The 17,647-nt window shown below is 45.9% G+C and overlaps 2 annotated features.

The window, feature by feature from the left end:
* Positions 4,815 to 4,924: an enhancer, noted in NCBI's record as "active region_665". NCBI's record gives its function as "activates an Ori minimal core promoter by ATAC-STARR-seq in GM12878 lymphoblastoid cells {active_cell/tissue: GM12878}" and the evidence as "EXISTENCE:reporter gene assay evidence [ECO:0000049][PMID:35858748]".
* Positions 5,245 to 5,384: an enhancer, noted in NCBI's record as "active region_666". NCBI's record gives its function as "activates an Ori minimal core promoter by ATAC-STARR-seq in GM12878 lymphoblastoid cells {active_cell/tissue: GM12878}" and the evidence as "EXISTENCE:reporter gene assay evidence [ECO:0000049][PMID:35858748]".

Here is a 17,647-nt window from a genome sequence, read left to right on the forward strand (position 1 = left end):
CAGGGTTTCACCATGCTGGACAGGCTGGTCTCGAACTCCTGACCTCAGGTGATCCACCCACCTCAGCCTCCCAAAGTGCTGGGATTATAGGCGTGAGCCACCGTGCCCAGCCTGTTTTGTTTTTTTGAGAGGGAGTCTCACTCTGTCGCCCAGGCTGGAGTACAGTGGCGAGATCACAGCTTGCGGCAACCTCCACCTCCCGGGTTCAAGCAATTCTCCTGTCTCAGCCTCCTGGGTAGCTAAAATTACAGGCGCCCACCACCACGCCGGCTAATTTTTGTACTTTTAGTAGAGACGATGTTGCACCATGTTGACCAGGCTGGTCTCAAACTCCTGACCTCAAGTGATCCACCCACCTCGGCCTCCCAAAGTGTTGGGATTACAGGTGTGAGCCACCGTGCCTGGCTTCTTTTCTTTCATACTTATTTGTTTATTTTTTTTTTTTTGAGATGTTGTTTCATTCTTGTTGCCCAGGCTGGAGTGCAATGGCGCGATCTCTGCTCACTGCAACCTCCACCTCCCGGGTTCAAGTGATTCTCCTGCCTCAGCCTCCCAAGTAGCTGGGACTACAGGCATGTGCCGCCACACCCAGCTAAGTTTGTATTTTTAGTAGAGACGGGGTTTCTCCATGTTGGTCAGGCTGGTCTCAAAGTCCTGACCTCAGATGATCTGCCCACCTCGGCCTCCCAAAGTGCTGGGATTACAGGCATGAGCCACCGCGCCCGGGCTTGTATTTAATTTTTTTAAATAGAAACGGGGTCTCCCTATGTTGCCAGGCTGGTCTCAATCTCCTGGCCTCAAGTGATCCTCCTACCTCAGCCTCCCAAAGTGCTGGGATTGCAGGCATGAGCCACCATGCCTCACCCTGACCACTTTCTTTCTTAACTCTCCTTCCTGAGCTTCTGTGAGGCCACAGACCCCGGTTCTTCTCCTCCTTCTCTCTTCCTTGGTTGCTGGCAACATTCCAGCCCTTAAATGTCACTTCTCATAGTTCTGCTCTTAGCCCTCTTCCCTTTCTACCCCTCACGCTCCCTCCCACTTTTAAGCTGTGCCTGTGTCTTCAACCTCTACTTCTTTGCTGATGAATTCCCAGACTGTATCTCAACCACAGATCTTCCCCCCAAGAGCCACCCACCTGTCAAGCAGCTCCACTTGCACGCTGCCACATACAGCAAGCTCAACGAGGCCAAAACTGAACTCTATATCTTCCCCCAAACCTGCTCCTCCTAGGTTCCCAATCTTGATGAATGACACCACCTTTTACCCTGTTCCCCAAGCCAGAAGCTCAAATGTCACTCTTGCTTCTGCCCAGCCCAGCCCACCAATCACCATGTTCTTAACATCTTATAAATAAACCTCCCCTCTCCCCTCTGTCTCCACTGTTTCTCTTTTTCTTTCTTTTCTTTCTTTCTTTCTTTTTTCTTTCTTTCTTTCTTCCCTTCCCTTCCTTTCTTTCTTTCTTCCCTTCGCTTCCCTTCTCCTTCCTTCCTTCCTTCCTTCCTTCTTTCTTTCTTTCGTCTTGCTCTGTCACTCAGGCTGGAGTGCAGTGGCACAATCACAGCTCACTGCAGCCTCAGCCTCCTGGGCTCAGGTGATCCTCCCACCCCAGCCTTCCAAGTAGCTGGGACTACAGGTACTTGCCACCATTCCTGGCTAATTTTTGTGTTTTTTATAAAGATGGGTTTTCGCCATGTTGCCCAGGCTGGTCTTGAACTCCTGGGCTCAAGTGAGCCTCCTGCCTCGGTTTCCCAAAGTGCTGGGATTACAGGCGTGAGCCACCAAACCTGGCCTGTCTCCACTGTTTCTGCTTCAATTTAGGCCCTCATCATGACCTGAAGCCTGGATTGATACATTTTTTGGTGGTGGTGGTTGTTCTTTTTTTTTTTTTTTTTTTTTTGAGACAGAGTCTTGCTCTGTTGCCCAGGCTGGAGTGCACTGGTGTGATCTCGCCTCACTGCAAGCTCTGCCTCCTGGGTTCAAGCCATTCTTGTATCTCAGCCACCCGAGTAGCTGGAATTACAGATGTGCGCCACCACACCCAGCTAATTTTTGTATTTTTAGTAGAGACGAGGTTTTGCCATGCTGGCCAGGCTAGTCTAGAACTCCCGACCTCAGGTGATCTGCCCACCTCGACCTCCTTGAGTGCTGGGATTAGAGGTGTGAGCCACTGCATCCGGCCTGTTTTTTGTTTTTCTTGAGACAGGGTCTCACTCCCAACGCCCAGGCTGGAGTGCAGTGGCACGATCATGGCTCACTGCAGCCTTGACTTCCCAGGCTCAGATGATTCTCCCACCTCAGGCTCAGATTCTCCCACCTCAGCCAACCAACCGGCTGGGACTACAGGCACGTGCCCCTATGCCTGGCTAATTTTTGTATTTTTTGTAGAGATGGGGTTTCACCCCATTGCCCAAGCTGGTCTTGATCTCCTGGGCTTCAGCAATTCTCCTACCTCAGCCTCCCAAAGTGCTGGGATAACAGGTGTGAGCCACCACACAGGCCTATTATTACATGTCTCATAAGGGGGCTCTCAGCCTCAATCTCTTCCCCCTTGGTACTAAACTCCTTTCAAGTATCTGCCCATCTAGACTCCCTTTCCCCAGACCCCACAGTTGCCCATAGGCCTTGCTGAAGAGGTCCCCCTACACTCTCGCTGACCTTGCTGACGCCTGCCCTGCTATTGCCACAGTGTTTTGAACCAGGGGTGCCCATCTGACCCACACTGGGCTGAATTATATCTCTTGGGACTCTGAAAGTGGGACATAGTGACTCTAGTTCAAACACTCCCAGGGGTCACAATAGTAATGACAATGAGTGAAACAGCCCAGTGAGAGACAATGGGGAATGGCGGCAATTGTGGCAAATGGAAAGCGTGTGCCTCGGCTAAAGGTAGCAGCTGCGTCTCTGCTCTAGCAGATGGTTGCCATGGGAATATGGGCCCAGACTTGTCAGATATTCTGATTTTCCAGATTTTTGTGTGAGATTTCCCAATTTTTGAATTTGGGGCACTAATTCATTTTTGTAAATGCCACAGGCTAAGAATATTTTTTTTACATCATATTTGGCCTATAGGGCTGCCAGTTTGCAGTTGGTGCCAGAGAGTCAGGTTTAGGCATAGGACTCAAAGCTGGAGACAGCCACTTTCTGCCATGTGTATGGAGAAGCAGAGGAAGCCCTCTGCAGAGCAAGAAGAACAAAACCTATTCCTGCTGACTCCTTGCCCCCCAGATTTACTACATGTCCACATTTCCTGGCCCAACACCTCCCGCCCTTCTTTCCAGGCCCAAGATTATGTAATAACTAAAAGTTATGGGCGCTGAGGCCAGACAAACCAAGGTTCAGCTGCTGAGTCTGCAACTCCCAGCTGTGTGCTCTTTAAGCAAGTCACTTCTCTTCTCTGAGCCTCAGTTCCTTCCTTACTCTGTAAAATGGGCTACTTACCTCATAGAGTTGTTACTAGGATAAAATGAGATGCTGTTCAGAAAGTTCTTAGCACAGTGCCTGGCACCCAGTAAGCCCTGAATGGATGTCAGCCACTTTTATTATTACTGCCATTAGCAGTAGTATTCCTCCTCATTCCAGCCCTCTCTCCCAAAACACTTGTATAACTGTGGGCATTTACCATTTATTATGATTATTTTTTGAGACAAGGTTTCACTCTACGGCCCAGGCTGGAGTGCAATGGCACAAATCAGCTCATTGCAGCCTTGACCCCCTGGGCTCAAGCAATCCTCCCACCTCAGCCTACCAAGTAGCTGGAACCACAGCCATGCACTACCACACCCGGCTAATTTTTTTATTTTTTGTAAAGATGGGGTCTTACTATGTTGCCCAGGCTGGTCTCAAACTCCTGAGCTCAAGCAATCCTCTCACCTCAGCCTCCCAAAGCCTGTTATTATTTACTACTATTTTATCTGCCGTGGTATATTTTAAACTTCTTGAGTGAAAGGCCACATTTTATCTCTCTTTATATGTGCAAAGGGGAAGAAATGGGGTTGGAACACTGTTTTGTCCGTAGTAGATATTCAAGAAACATTTATTTGTTGGCATGCTCCTTGGAAGTTAGGCTCTGTGAGAGCAACGACCTTTGTCTGTCTGATTCCCTATTTCATCCCCTGAGCCAAGCAGTGCTGAGTACACATAGAACTCTTAATAATGTGTATGGAATACAAGAGTGAAAGGCATCTCTTCACCCTCCACCATGATCTTTAACATATCCTTGGAGGTTCTTGGTATAAATCTCAATCCACTGTTTCGTAGGTTCTGGAGTCTCTGTTAATGGCATCCCATTTTTCCTTTGGAGAACTGTCCCTCCTCTACTCAATGTGGCTGACCCACCTCAGCTTGGGAATGGTCATCTGACCAAGGGCTCACCAGTCAGAGACACCTATCCTCTGGCCTTAGTGATGGGTTCAGGATGGACTTATGACTCAATCAAGGACAATCAGAGCTGGAACTATTGGAACGGGGAAATTTGCTTTCCACTGAGGAAGCCAATTCACGAGAACATAAGCCCAGATAGAGCTGCTAGTAGCCATTTACCACCATGAGGAAAAGGCCTACCTAGGAATGAGGCAAACACAGAAAAAGGTCTGAGAGATAGAAAGAGCTAGACAGGTTCCTTATAGGTTTTTGTTGTTGTTGTTGTTGTTGTTGTTGTTTTGAGACAGAGTCTCACTCTGTCACCCAGGCTGGAGTGCAGTAGCGCGAGCTCAGCTCACTGCAACCTCCACCTCCTGGGTTCAAGCGATTTTCCTGCCTCACCCTCCCGAGTATCTGGGACTACAGGCACGCACCACCACGCACAGCTAATTTTTGTATTTTTTTGGTAGATACAGGGTAGAGAATAACGAAGACGTACTTATAGAAGCAGAGGCTGGAGGCCATGATTTCCCAGACAGAAAGAAACAGAAAGAGAGAGAGCACTGCTTCCTCATTCCTCATGAGACTAATTACTTCTTCTCCTGGGTTCGATGAGATTTCTCTGGGTTTCTCTAATTCCTTCTCACCGTTATCCTCCACCCTGTTTTTTTTTAACTTAAAATAGTTCTAGTGGTTTTTTGATCTTTTGTTTTTGCTTGTAACCAAAAGGTTCTTAGACAACTGTCCTAGGAAGAGGTCTGCAGCTAAGCAGTTTTGTTCACTGTGCTGACAAAGAACCTGGGTCCCTGAATCAAGACCCAAACATACATTTGTTAGCTGTGTCACCTTGGCCAGAACAGCTGGATTCACTGGACTGGCTTGGCCCTCTGTAAAATAAGAATAATAATGCCTATCTTATCAGACTGAATGAGAGAAGGTGGAAATCAGAGCTTAGCAGAGTGCTGGGCACAGAGAATCCATATCACCTGTGTGTGCTGAGCACAGAAGAGGGGCTATGTCCAAGCCCAGAGCATCCCCTGGTTGGTCCCAGCCGAGAGACCAGAAAAGAGGCTTAAAGGGACAACCCCTCTCCCCATCAGCACCTTTTTCATCTCATTTGTACCAATTTTTTTTTTGAGACAGTCTCACTCTGTCACCCAGGCTGGAGGGCAGTGGCAGGATCACAGCTCACTGCAACCTCCGCCCCCCGAGTTCAAGGAATTCTCCCACCTCAGTCTCCGGAATAGCTGGGATTGCAGGTGTCTGCCACCATGCCTGACTAATTTTTGTGTTTTTAGTAGAGACAGGGTTTCACCATGTTGGCCAGGCTGGTTTAGAACTCCTGGCCTCAAGTGATCCACCCGCCTCAGCCTCCCAAAGTGCTGGGATTACAGGCGTGAGTCACTATGCCTGGCCTTGTACCAATGTTTTAAAAGCATTGAGGGGGAAAGAAATAGCTTTATTTTTAAAGGAGCCCATTCTGGAACTCTATTCTAATGACATAATCAAACAAGAGAAAATACATATGCATAAGGATGCTCATTGCAATAGTGTTTACATTAGAGAAAAACTGGAAGTGACTTAAGTGTCCAACACTGTTTGCTTATTAATGATGATACCTTCATACAATAGACAGTTATACAGATTTGGAGGAGAAAGGACAGAATTATTTTTAAATGAAAACAACTAATGAACAGAATTCAAAATGTTATGGGGTATACTGCAGAATTTGTCTGAATGTTTAAGGTGAAAGCCCAGTATTTCAAAGAAGGTTCTGTTGCTCTCGTACATTTCAGACCCTACACACAGTCTCATGCATTACCTGTCTGGCACAGCATTCATCTTTTCTGCCTCTGGGGTTACTGGGTGGAAAAACTTAAGAAGCATTTATGCAAGTACAAGTCCTGAGGCCTCTAACATTAAAGGTATTTACAAAGATAGATATCCACAACATTTTCCGAGTACAAAATGCAGGTTTCAAAAATATTGCCAAAAAAAGGGCAACCTGCTTGGATCCCCTTCCACGCTGTGGAAGCTTTGTCCTTTCACTCTTCACAATAAACCTTGCTACCGCTCAAAAAAAAATTGCCACAAAAAACTCGAAAAAACAAAAGTATTGCCAAAAATTTGAACAGCGGTTATTTCAGGCCATGACACTTCAGGAGATCTTTCTCTTCTTCTTAGTATTTATTTTTTTCTTTTTTGAGACGGAGTCTTGCTCTGTCGCCCAGGCTGGAGTGCAATGGTGTGATGTTGGCTCACTGCAACATCCGACTCCCAGATTCAAGTGATTCTCCTGCCTCAGCCTCCTGAGAAGCTGGGACTGCAGGTGCATAGCACCACTCCCGGCTAATTTTTGTATTTTTAGTAGAGAGGGTTTCACCATGTCGGCCAGGATGGTCTCGATCTCCTGACCTCGTGATCCTCCCGCCTCAGCCCCCCAAAGTGCTGGGATTACAGGCATGAGCCACCCCGCCTGGCTTCTTCTTTGTACTTTTATGTATTATTTGAAGTTTTTATAATCTGCATACATTATATTTATGAGGAAAAAAAATGAAGCTATTTTCATGAGGAGTCCACCTTGATTTTACTTTCTCCTATATTGTCCTCAAATCACATTCGACCAGATTTCCTCTACCATACCTTCCTTCTTCTTCTTTTGTTTTTGTTTTTGTTTTTTTTGAGACTGAGTTTCACTCTTGTTGCCCAGGTTGGAGTGCAATGGCGCGATCTCCGGCTCACCGCAACCTCAGCCTCCTGGGTTCAAGCGATTCTCCCATCTCAGCCTCCTAAGCAGCTGGGATTACAGGCACCACACCCAACTAATTTTGTATTTTTAGTAGAGACGGGGTTTCTCCATGTTTGTCGGGGTGGTCTGGAACTCCCAACTCCAGGTGATCCGCCCACCTCGGCCTCCCAAAGTGCTGGGATTACAGGCATGAGCCACCACGACCAGCACATACCTTCATTCTTCAGGAAGAGGAGAATTTACCTGGCTGCCCAGTCCTGCAGGGAGCTACTCCAGACAGACACTCCCTGTATAGGAAGGGCCTTCCATGAGCCTGGCAGAAGCGCTAGGCAGCTCACTACTGTCCTCTTGTGGTCAGAACAGGTCAGAGCTTGATCTAGCAAAATACCGCTCACCCAGTCTACTCTGAAAGTCAAGGTCATCCCCAGAAGTGTGACCTCTGGCTATCCCTGCAGTTAATGTGCTGCACACCAGCATCAGTAGCCCAGCACCCCATCCCAAAACGGGCCATAATCAGGGTTTAGCAGCCTAAGCCTAAAGACTGCAAACCTATCTGAACAATGCTGTCTATTCCAAGCCAGAGACTTTCAGGAGACACTCTTTTCTGACAGCTAGAGCAAGTGATGGAGAGCACGCCTGTCCACTAGAGAGAGCACTCATGGTCAGAACTTGGGGTTTCAGACTGCAGAGAAGGCAAAGTTGCAGGAAAACAACAACAATCATCCTAATCATAAAAGCCCTTGCCCTTGTATGGTTCTTTTTACTTTTCAAAGTATTTCCCAAGGCAATTTGGCATGTCCAAAGAAATTAACACAAGGATGTTTGCTACAGCAAAAGAGAATTTAGGCTGGGCGCCTGTAATCCCAGCATTTTGGGAAGCCGAGGCAGGTGCATCACCTGAGGTTGGGAGTTTGAGAACAGCCTGGCCAACAGGGTAAAACCCTGTTTCTACTAAAAATACAAAAAAATGGCCAGGCATGGTGGCTCACGCCTGTAATCCCAGCACTTTGGGAGGCCGAGGCAGGTGGATCATTTGAGGTCAGTAGTTGGAGAGTAGCCTGGCCAACATGGTGAGACCCCGTCTCTACTAAAAATACAAAAATTAGCTGGGCATGGTGGTACATGCCTGCAATCCCAACTACTCGGGAGGCTGAAGCAGGAGAATTGCTTGAACCCGGGAGGCAGAGGTTGCAGTGTGCCGAGATCGCGCCACTGCACTCCAGCCTGGGTGACAGAGTAAGACTCCGCCCCAAAAAAAACCCCGAAAAAATACAACAAAAAAGCAAAAAAATTAGCTGGGTGTGGTGGCAGGCACCTGTAATCCCAGCTACTCGGGAGGTTGAGGCGAGAGAATCGCTTGAACCTGGGAGGCAGAGGTTGCAGTGAGCTGAGACTGCACCACTGCACTCTACCCTAGATGAGAGAAACTCTGTTTCAAAAAAAAAAAAAACAGAGACAGAATCTAAACATCCTTCAGTAGGACAGTCATTTACTAAAATGGAATAGTATGCAACTGTTTAAAATATTTCTTTATTCCTTTTCCACTCCCACAGCTTCACTTGACTTAACTAGCCTTAAAAAAAAAAAAAAAAGGGTCAGGCACAGTGGCTCACGGCTGAAATTCCATCATTTTGGGAGCCCAAGGTGCGTGGACTGCTTGCACTGAGGAGTTTGAGACCATCCTGGGCAACGTGGCGAAAGTTCTTCTATACAAAAAAATACAAAAAATTAGCTGAGGTGCGGTGGTGTGCACCGGTAGTCCCAGCTACTCAGGAGGCTAAGGTGGGAGGATCGCTTGAGGCTAGGAGGTTGACACTGCAGTGAGCTCTGATCACGCCACTGCACTCCAGCTTGGGTGACAGAGTAAGACTCTAAAAAAAAAAAAAATGAGGCTGGGCACAGTGGCTCACACCTGTAATCCCAGCACTTTGGGAGGCCAAAGCAGGCAGATCACTTGAGCTCAAGAGATCGAGACCAGCCTGGCGAACATGGCGAAACCCCGTCTCTACTAAAAATACAAAACTTAGCTGGGCGTGGTAGTGGGCGCCTGTAGTCCCAGCTACTTGGGAGGCCAAGGCAGGAGAATTGCTTGAACCTGGGAGGCAGAGGTGGCAGTGAGCCAAGATTATGCCATTGCACTCCAGCCTGGGCAACAAGAGCAAAACTCCCTCTCAAAAAAAAAAAAATGACAGATAAATCTATCTGGATGTGTTGGTATGGAATAATCTTCAAGATTCATTGTTAAGATTGTTTTTAAAAGAAAAAAATAAGTTTATGTGTCTGTTTAAAATAAGAATTTGTATAGATGTAGATATATCTATTTAGGTATGTATAGAACACATTGGAAGGAAACACCTCCAATAATGACTGCCTCTGAGAATGGAGGAAAGAGGGCATGGCAGTAGGAAGGAGAACTAATTCCTACTGGATATCCTTATGTACTATTAAATTCTCTTCTTTTTTTTTTTTTTTTTTTTGAGACAGAGTCTCGCTCTGTCACCCATGCTGGAGTACAGTGGCGCGATCTTGGCTCACTGCAAGCTCCGCCTCCCGGGTTCATGCCATTCTCCTGCCTCAGCCTCCCAAGTAGCTGGGACTACAGGCGCCTGCCACCACACCCAGCTAATTTTGTGTATTTTTTTGGAGAGACAGGGTTTCACCGTGTTAGCCAGGATGGTCTCGATCTCCTGACCTCGTGATCCACCCGCCTCGGCCTCCCAAAGTGCTGGGATTTTAGGCATGAGCCACCGCACCCAGCCTGTACTATTAAATTCTTTATCATGCACATTATTACATTTTCAAGGTAAAATTTATTTAAAATTTAAAATGTATTTCAAAAGACCTTTGGATATAATGGAATCAGAAAGACTTGGGTTCAAATCTAGACTCTGAGACTTACCAATTATATGACCTTAAGTAAATCACTTAACTACTTCGAACTTCAATTTTCTCATTCCTAAAATAGGATTAGTGGCCAGGCATGGTGGCTCATGCTTGTAATCCCAGCAGTTTGGGAGGCTGAGGCAGGCAGATCACAAGGTCAGGGGTTCGAGACCAGCCTGGCCAACATGGTGAAACCATGTCTCTACTAAAAATACAAAAATTAGCTGGACATGGTGGCACACGCCTGTAATCCCAGCTACTTGGGAGGCTGAGGCAGAAGAATTGCTTGAACCCAGGAGGCAGATGTTGCAGTGAGCCGAGATCATGCCACTACATTCCAGCCTGGGCAACAGAGTGAAACTCCATCTCAAAAAAAAAAAAAAATAGGATTAGTAACATCAACCTCATGGTATTATGAAGATTAAAGAAGCTTTTGGGAGCTGGGTGCAGTGCCTCACGCCTATAATCCCAGCACTTTGGGAGGCTGAGGTGGGCAGATCACTTGAGGTCAGGAGGTCGACATCAGCCTGGCCAACATGGTGAAACCCCATCTCTACTAAAAATACAAAAATTAGATGGGCGTGGTGGCAGGTGCCTGTAATCCCAGCTACTCAGGAGGCTTAGACAGGAGAATCACTTGAACTTGGGAGGCAGAGGTTGCAGTGGCATCCAGATTGGAGTAAAATTGTATTTGCAGATGACATGATCTCGAATATAGAAAATCCTAAGGAGTTCACAAAATACTATTAGAACTAATAAATGAGTTTGGTGAGGTTGCAGGATACAAGATCAATACACAAAAATCAGTTGAATTTTTATACACTGGCAATGAACAATCTGAAAATGAAATTGAGAAAATAATTTTTATTTACAATATCATCAAGAAGAATAATATACATAGGAGGAAATTTAACAAAAGAAGTATTATACAAGACTTGGATAGGCACGGTGACTTATGTCTGTAATCCCAGCCCTTTGGGAGGCTGAGGTGGGCAGATCGCTTGAGGCCAGGAGTTCAAGATCAGCATGGGTGATACAGTGAGACCTCGTAGCTACAAAAAAAATTTAAAAATTAGCTGGGCATGGGCTGGGCACAGTGGCTCACCCCCGTAATCCCAGCACTTTGGGAGGCCGAGGCGGATGGATCACGAGGTCAGGAGATCGAGACCATCCTGGCTAACATGGTGAAACCCTGTCTCTATTAAAAATACACAAAATTAGCTGGGTGTGGTGGTGGGCGCCTGTAGTCCCAGCTACTCAGGAGACTGAGGCAGGAGAATGAAACCCGGATGGCAGAGCTTTCAGTGAGCCGAGATCGTGCCACTGCACTCTAGCTTAGGCAACAGAGCAAGACTCCGTCTAAAAAAAAAAAAAATTACCTGGATGTGCACTCCTGTAGTCTCAGCTACTTGGGAGGCTGCGGCGGAGGATGGCTTGAGCATGGGAAGTTGAGGCTGCAGTGAGCCAAGATTGCACCACTGCACTGCAGCTGGGGCGACAGAGCAAGGCTCTGTCTCAAATATAAATAAATAAATAACAAGATTCAGACACTGAAAACTATAAAAATGTTAAAAGACTTTGCGTCTGTTTTTTTTGTTTGTTTGTTTGTTCGTTTGGTTGGTTGGTTGGTTGGTTGGTTGGTTGGTTTTATAGAGAGAGTCTTATTCTGTTGCCCTGGCTGGAGTGCAGTGGTGCTATCACAGCTCACTGCAGCCTCTAACTCCCAAGCTCAAGAGATTCTCCAGCCTCAGCCTCACAAGTAGCTGGGACTACAGGTGTATACCACCAAACCTGGCTAATTTTTTTCATTTTTTGTAGAAACAAAGTCTCACTATGTTGCCCAGGCTGGTCTTAAACTCCTGGGCTCAAATGCTCCTCTCGCCTCCACCTCCTAAAGTGCTAGGATTAGAGGCGTGAGCCTCCGCTCCTGGCCTGTTGAAAGAAATTTAATAAGACCTAAATAAATGGGAAGACATCCCGTGTTCCTATATTGGAATGAACAGATGGCATTCTGGGGAGTAAGATGGCAATACTCCCCAAACTGATCTACATTTTCAGTGCAATTCCTATCAAAATTTCAGCTGGTGTTTTTTTGGGTTTTTTTTGTTTTTGTTTTTGTTTTTTGCAGAAATTACCAAGCTGATCCTAAAATTCATATGGAAATGCAAGGGACACAGAATAGTCAAAATAATCTTGAAAAAAAATAGTTGGAGAACTCACTGATTTCAAAATTTATACATAGCCAAAGTGATAAAGACAATATGGTACTGACATAAGAATAAATATATAGGCCAGGCGTGGTAGCTCACGCCTGTAATCCCTGCACTGTGGGAGGCCGAGGGTGGGGCAGATCATCTGAGGTCAGGAGTTCGAGACCAGCCGGGCCAACATGGCAAAACCCCATCTCTACTAAAAATACAAAAATTAGCCAGGTGTGGTGGCACATGCCTGTAATCCCAGCTACTCATGAGGCTGAGGTGGGAGAATCTCTTGAACCCGGGAAGTGGAGCTTGCAGTGAGCTGAGATCATACCACTGCACTCCATCCTGGGCAACAGAGTAAGACTCTGTCTCAAAAAAAAAAAAAAAAAAAGAATAAATATATAGATTAATGGAATAGAACTGAAAGTCCAGAAATAAACCTTTACATTTGTGGTCAATTTTGAACAAATGTATGAAAACAATAACTGGATATTCACATGCAAAAAAAATTAAAATGAACCCCTGTTCACACTATATAAACAATTTGATCAAAAATGTAACAGACCTAAATGTAAGAGCTAAAAAAAGCATAATACTCTTAGAAGAAAACATAGGAATCAATCTTCACGACATTGGATTAAGCAATAGTTTCTTAGATATGATACTCAAAAGCACAGACAAAACAAAAAAAAGATAAATTGAACTTTGTAAACATTAAAAACTTTTGTGTTTCAAAGGACACCATCTCTCTCTCTCTTTTTTTTTTTTTTTTTTTGGTTTGAGACAGAGTCTTGCTCTGTCGCTCAGGTTGGAGTACAATGGTGCGATCTTGCCTCACTGCAACCTCCGCCTCCCAGGTTCAAGCAATTCTCATGTCTCAGTCTCCCGAGTAGCTGGGATTACAAGCACCTGCCACCACGCCCAGCTAACTTTTGTACTTTTAGTAGAGACGGGGTTTCACCATGTTGATCAGGCAGGTCTCGAACTCCTGACCTCAGGTGATCCACCTGCTTCAGCCTCCCACAGTGCTGGGATTACAGGCATGAGCCAGTGTGCCCAGCCCATCTCTTGTTTTTAATTTAACTTTTAAGTTCAGGGTTACATGTGCAGGTTTGTTGTATAGGTAAACTTGTGTCATGGGGGTTTGTTGTACAAATTATTTTGTCACCCAGGTATTAAGTCTAGTACCCGTTAGTTATTTTTCCTGATCCTCTTTCTCCTCCCAACCTCCACCTTCCAATAGGCCCCAGCATGTGTTGTTCCATTCTATGAGGACACTGTCTCCTGATGGTGAAAAGATAACCCACAGAATGGGAGAAAATATTTACAAATCATAGATTGGATATGGGACTTGTATTCAGAATAAAGAAGAACAACAAAAAAACCCCACTGACTTGTATACTTTAAAAGTGAATTTTACGGTATGTGAATCACATATCACTAAAGCTATTTTTTATTTTAATTTTTTTTTTTTTTTGACACAGGGTCTCACTCTCACCTAGGCTGAAGTGCAGTGGCAGGATCTCAGCCCACTGCAACCTCCATCTCCTGGGTTCAAGCGATCCTCCCGCCTCAGCCTCCTGACTAGCTGGGCCTACAGCCTGTACCACCATACCCGGCTAATTTTTGTATTTTTTATAGAGATGAAGTTTCACTATGTTGCCTAGACTGGTCTCGAACCCCTGAGCTCAAGTGATCCACCCATCTCAGCCTCCCAAGGTGCTGGGATTACAGGTGTGAGCCACCACACCTAGTCAATAAAGCTGTTTTTTTTTTGTTTCTTTTTGTTTTGTTTTGTTTAAGAGTTGGGGATTGTTAGATGGAAAATACTCCTATCTTTCCCTTTCATGGGAAAGGCATCCATAGTGTAACACTCCTGGCTTCTCTCTGCTTCCCCTGAAAGAGGCAAGTGACTGAATCCATCCATGAGTCTGTGATAAAGAACTGGTATATGCAGCTCTGCACACTTCTCTCCTAAAGGATGCATTCTGCCTGTCTCTGTATGCCTTAAGTTCTACTTCATCAGGCACTGCCTGTGAATCCATGGTTAAGCTGATGCAATTCTGGGGTCAGTACTTGGGTGCACACCTATCGACAGACATAGGTCACTCTCTCTAAATCAGCTTTATCAATAATAAGGCTGCTATTTTGGTCTTCATATGCGTTATTTCTTAGTCTTATTTCTCAAATGGTTCAGAGCTTTTTCAAGCAAAGAGAGTACTATTTATAGACTACTCTTCTAAGAATTCCCGCAGCACTGAGAGCGTGATATGAGTGCCACCAAATAGCCACAGGTATATCACAGACACGCTTAGTCTGGAGAGGTAGCATGGAGCAATTAAATGAGTCAACAGACCTCATTTCTTCTTCTAAATTCATTTATTCATACATGTATTCAACAAATGTGAATCAAGCACCGAGGACGTGCCAGTCATTGTTAAAGGAGCTGGAGATTCAGCCATGAACAAAACTGATCAAAATCCTGCCATAGCGGGGCATACATTTTAGTGGGACTGACAATAAGCCAGGATATATGGTATTTTAGGTGGTAATACATCCTAAGGAGAAATAAATAGCACAGGGAAGGAAAATAGGTACTATAAGTGGAGGGTGTGAAATTTTAGGTAAGGTGTCCAGGAAAGGCCTCATTAAGAAGATGGCATTAAAGACCTGAAAGAAATATGGAAGTAACCAATGGGCATTTGGAAATAAAAAATTCCAGACCAAATAAGTACCACATGTAAAGGCTCTGAAGTGAGAGTGTGTGGTCTGAAGAAAAGTATGTGTAGCAGAGTGACGGCAGGTGGAGAGGCTGGAAAATGAGGGAAGAGATGTCTCAAGAAGCCAGTTTAGGCTGGGCATGGTAGCTCACGCCTGTAATCCCAGCACTTTGGGAGGCCGAGGTGGAGGGATCACTTGAGGTCAGGAGATCAAGACCAGCCTGGCCAAAAAGATGAAACCCCATCTCTACTAAAAATACAAAAATTAGCTGGGCGTGGTGGCATGCACCTGTAGTCCCAGCTAGTCAGGAGGCTGAGGCAGGAGAATCACTTGAACCCGGGAGATGGGGGTCACAGTGAGCCGAGATTGCACTACTGCACTTCAACCTGGGTGACAGAGGGAGACTCCGTCTCAAAAAAAAAAAAAAAAAAAAGCGCTCAGCTGAGCACAGTGGCTCACACCTCTAATCCCAGCACTTTGGGAGCCCAAGGTGGGAGGTTCACTTGAGCCCAGGGGCTCAAGACCACCCTAGGCAACATAGTGCAGCCTTGTTTGTACAAATACATTTTAAAAATTAGCATGGTGGCATGCACCTGTTGTCCCAGGAGGCTGAGGTGGGAGAATGGCTTGAGCCCAGCCAGTCTAGACTGCAGTGAGCTGTGATTGCACCACTGCACCCCAACTTGGGTGGCAGAGTGAGACTCCATCTCAAAAAAAGCCAGTTCAGATAACGCCTTGTAGCTCAGGGTAAACACTTGGACTTTTACTCATCCATTTACCCAATGCAGTGCTCAGGCAGAAGGGTGACATATCTGAATCTGTTGAGAGATTAGGGGAAGCAAAGGCAGAAACCTGAAGAGCAGTGAGGAGGCTGTTGGTGGCTTAGGCCAGAACATGAACAGCGGAGAGAGTTGGAAGGGGTCAATGCTGGAGATATTTTGAAGGTAGACCTCACTAAGTGTGTTGATGGATTGAAGCTAGGGTGTATGAGAAAGAGAAGTTAAGGATAGCTCAAGATTTTTGGCCTGAGCAGTTGAAAGATGCAGTGGCAATTAACTGAACAGGTTAGGGGTCAGGGAGTGGATAGCAGGAACTTGGTCCTGGACATGTTAAGTTTGAGGTGCCCATTGGACATTTAAGGGGACGTGTCAAATAATCAGCTGGTCATACAAGTCTCGAGTTTAAAAGAGAGGTCCAAGCTGCTTTTCAGCTTACCATTTAGCCACTTGCTAGCCCCATGACCTTACACCAGTCACACTTCCCTCTTATATTAAGTAGAAAGAAAAACAGTAGCTATGATACAAGGTTGTTGTGAGGATTAAACTTGATGATTAGTTAAGTCAGTGGTTCACCGGAGGCTCTGAAAAAATTATGACTATTATTAAGTTCAATTAAACATACAGGCCAGACGGGATGGTTCACGCCTGTAATCCCAGCACTTTGAGAAGCCGAGTCAGGTGGATCACTTGAGTCCAGGAGTTTGAGACCAGCCTGGCCAACATGGCAAAACCCTGTCTCCACTAAAAATACAAAAACTGCCCAGGCGTGGTGGCACACACCTGTAATCCCAGCTACTCAGGAAGGTGAGGCACAAGAATCGCTTGAACCCAGGAGATGGGAGGTTGCAGTGAGTCAAGATCACGCTACTGCACTCCAGCCTGGGTGGTACAGAGAGACTCTGTCTCAAAAACAAAAAACAAAACCAAAAAAAAAAAAAACCATACAGGCTGGGTGCAGTGGCTCACATCTGTAAATCCCAGCACACTTTGGGAAGCTGAAATTGGAGGATCACTTGAGCCCAGGGGTTTGAGACCAGCCTGGGCAACATAGCAAGACCTTGTCTCTACAAAAAATTTAAAAATTGTCCGGGCGTGGTGGCTCACGCCTGTAATCCCAGCACTTTGGGAGGCCAAGGCGGATGGATCACAAGGTCAGGAGTTCAAGACCAGCCTGGCGAACATGGTGAAACCTCATCTCTACTACAAATACAAAAATTAGCCAGGCGTGGTGGTGTGTGCCTGTAATCCTAGCTACTCAGGAGGCTGAGGCAGGAGAATTGCTTGAATCCGGAAGGCGGAGGTTGCAGTGAGCCGAGATCATGCCATTGCATTCCAGTCTGGGCTACAGAGAGAGACTCCATCTAAAAAAAAAAAAAATTAAATTATCTGAGTGTGGTGGTACATGCCTGTAGTCCCAGCTATTCGGGAGGCTGAGGTGGGAGGATTGTTTGAACCCAGAAGGTGGAGGTTGCAGTAAGCTGAGATCACGCCACTGAACTTCAGTCTGGGCAACAGAGACTCTGTCTCTCAAACAGAACAAAACATGCGTTTAGTTACTGGAAACCCGAAAATGAAAGATTCTGTACCTACCCTCACTCCCAATGCAGAAAACTTAGTCAAAGCTTTCAACAAACTCTCAGGTAACAGCAAGAATTTGGGAGAATCAGTAGGTCCTGTTATCTGATTGGACAACAAACGAAGAGTCAAAGACAATGGACAGTTGGTCTCAGTATGGAAACCATCCAGGAGATTAGGAGACAAACCAGAAGGTGTACCTGGTCCTCTGGCCAGCTTGCCAGGCAACCTGCCCCCTGCCAACCTCCCACTTCCCCAGTAGGGTGAATCCCAGTGCCCTGGAGATGTTTTTGTTTTTGTTTTTGTTTTCCCCGAGACGGAGTCTCACTCTGTCGCCCAGGCTGGAGTGCAGTGGTGCGATCTCAGCTCACTGCAACCTC

Source organism: Homo sapiens, chromosome 1 (assembly GCF_000001405.40).
Source record: "Homo sapiens chromosome 1, GRCh38.p14 Primary Assembly".
NCBI classification, from domain to species: domain Eukaryota; kingdom Metazoa; phylum Chordata; class Mammalia; order Primates; family Hominidae; genus Homo; species Homo sapiens.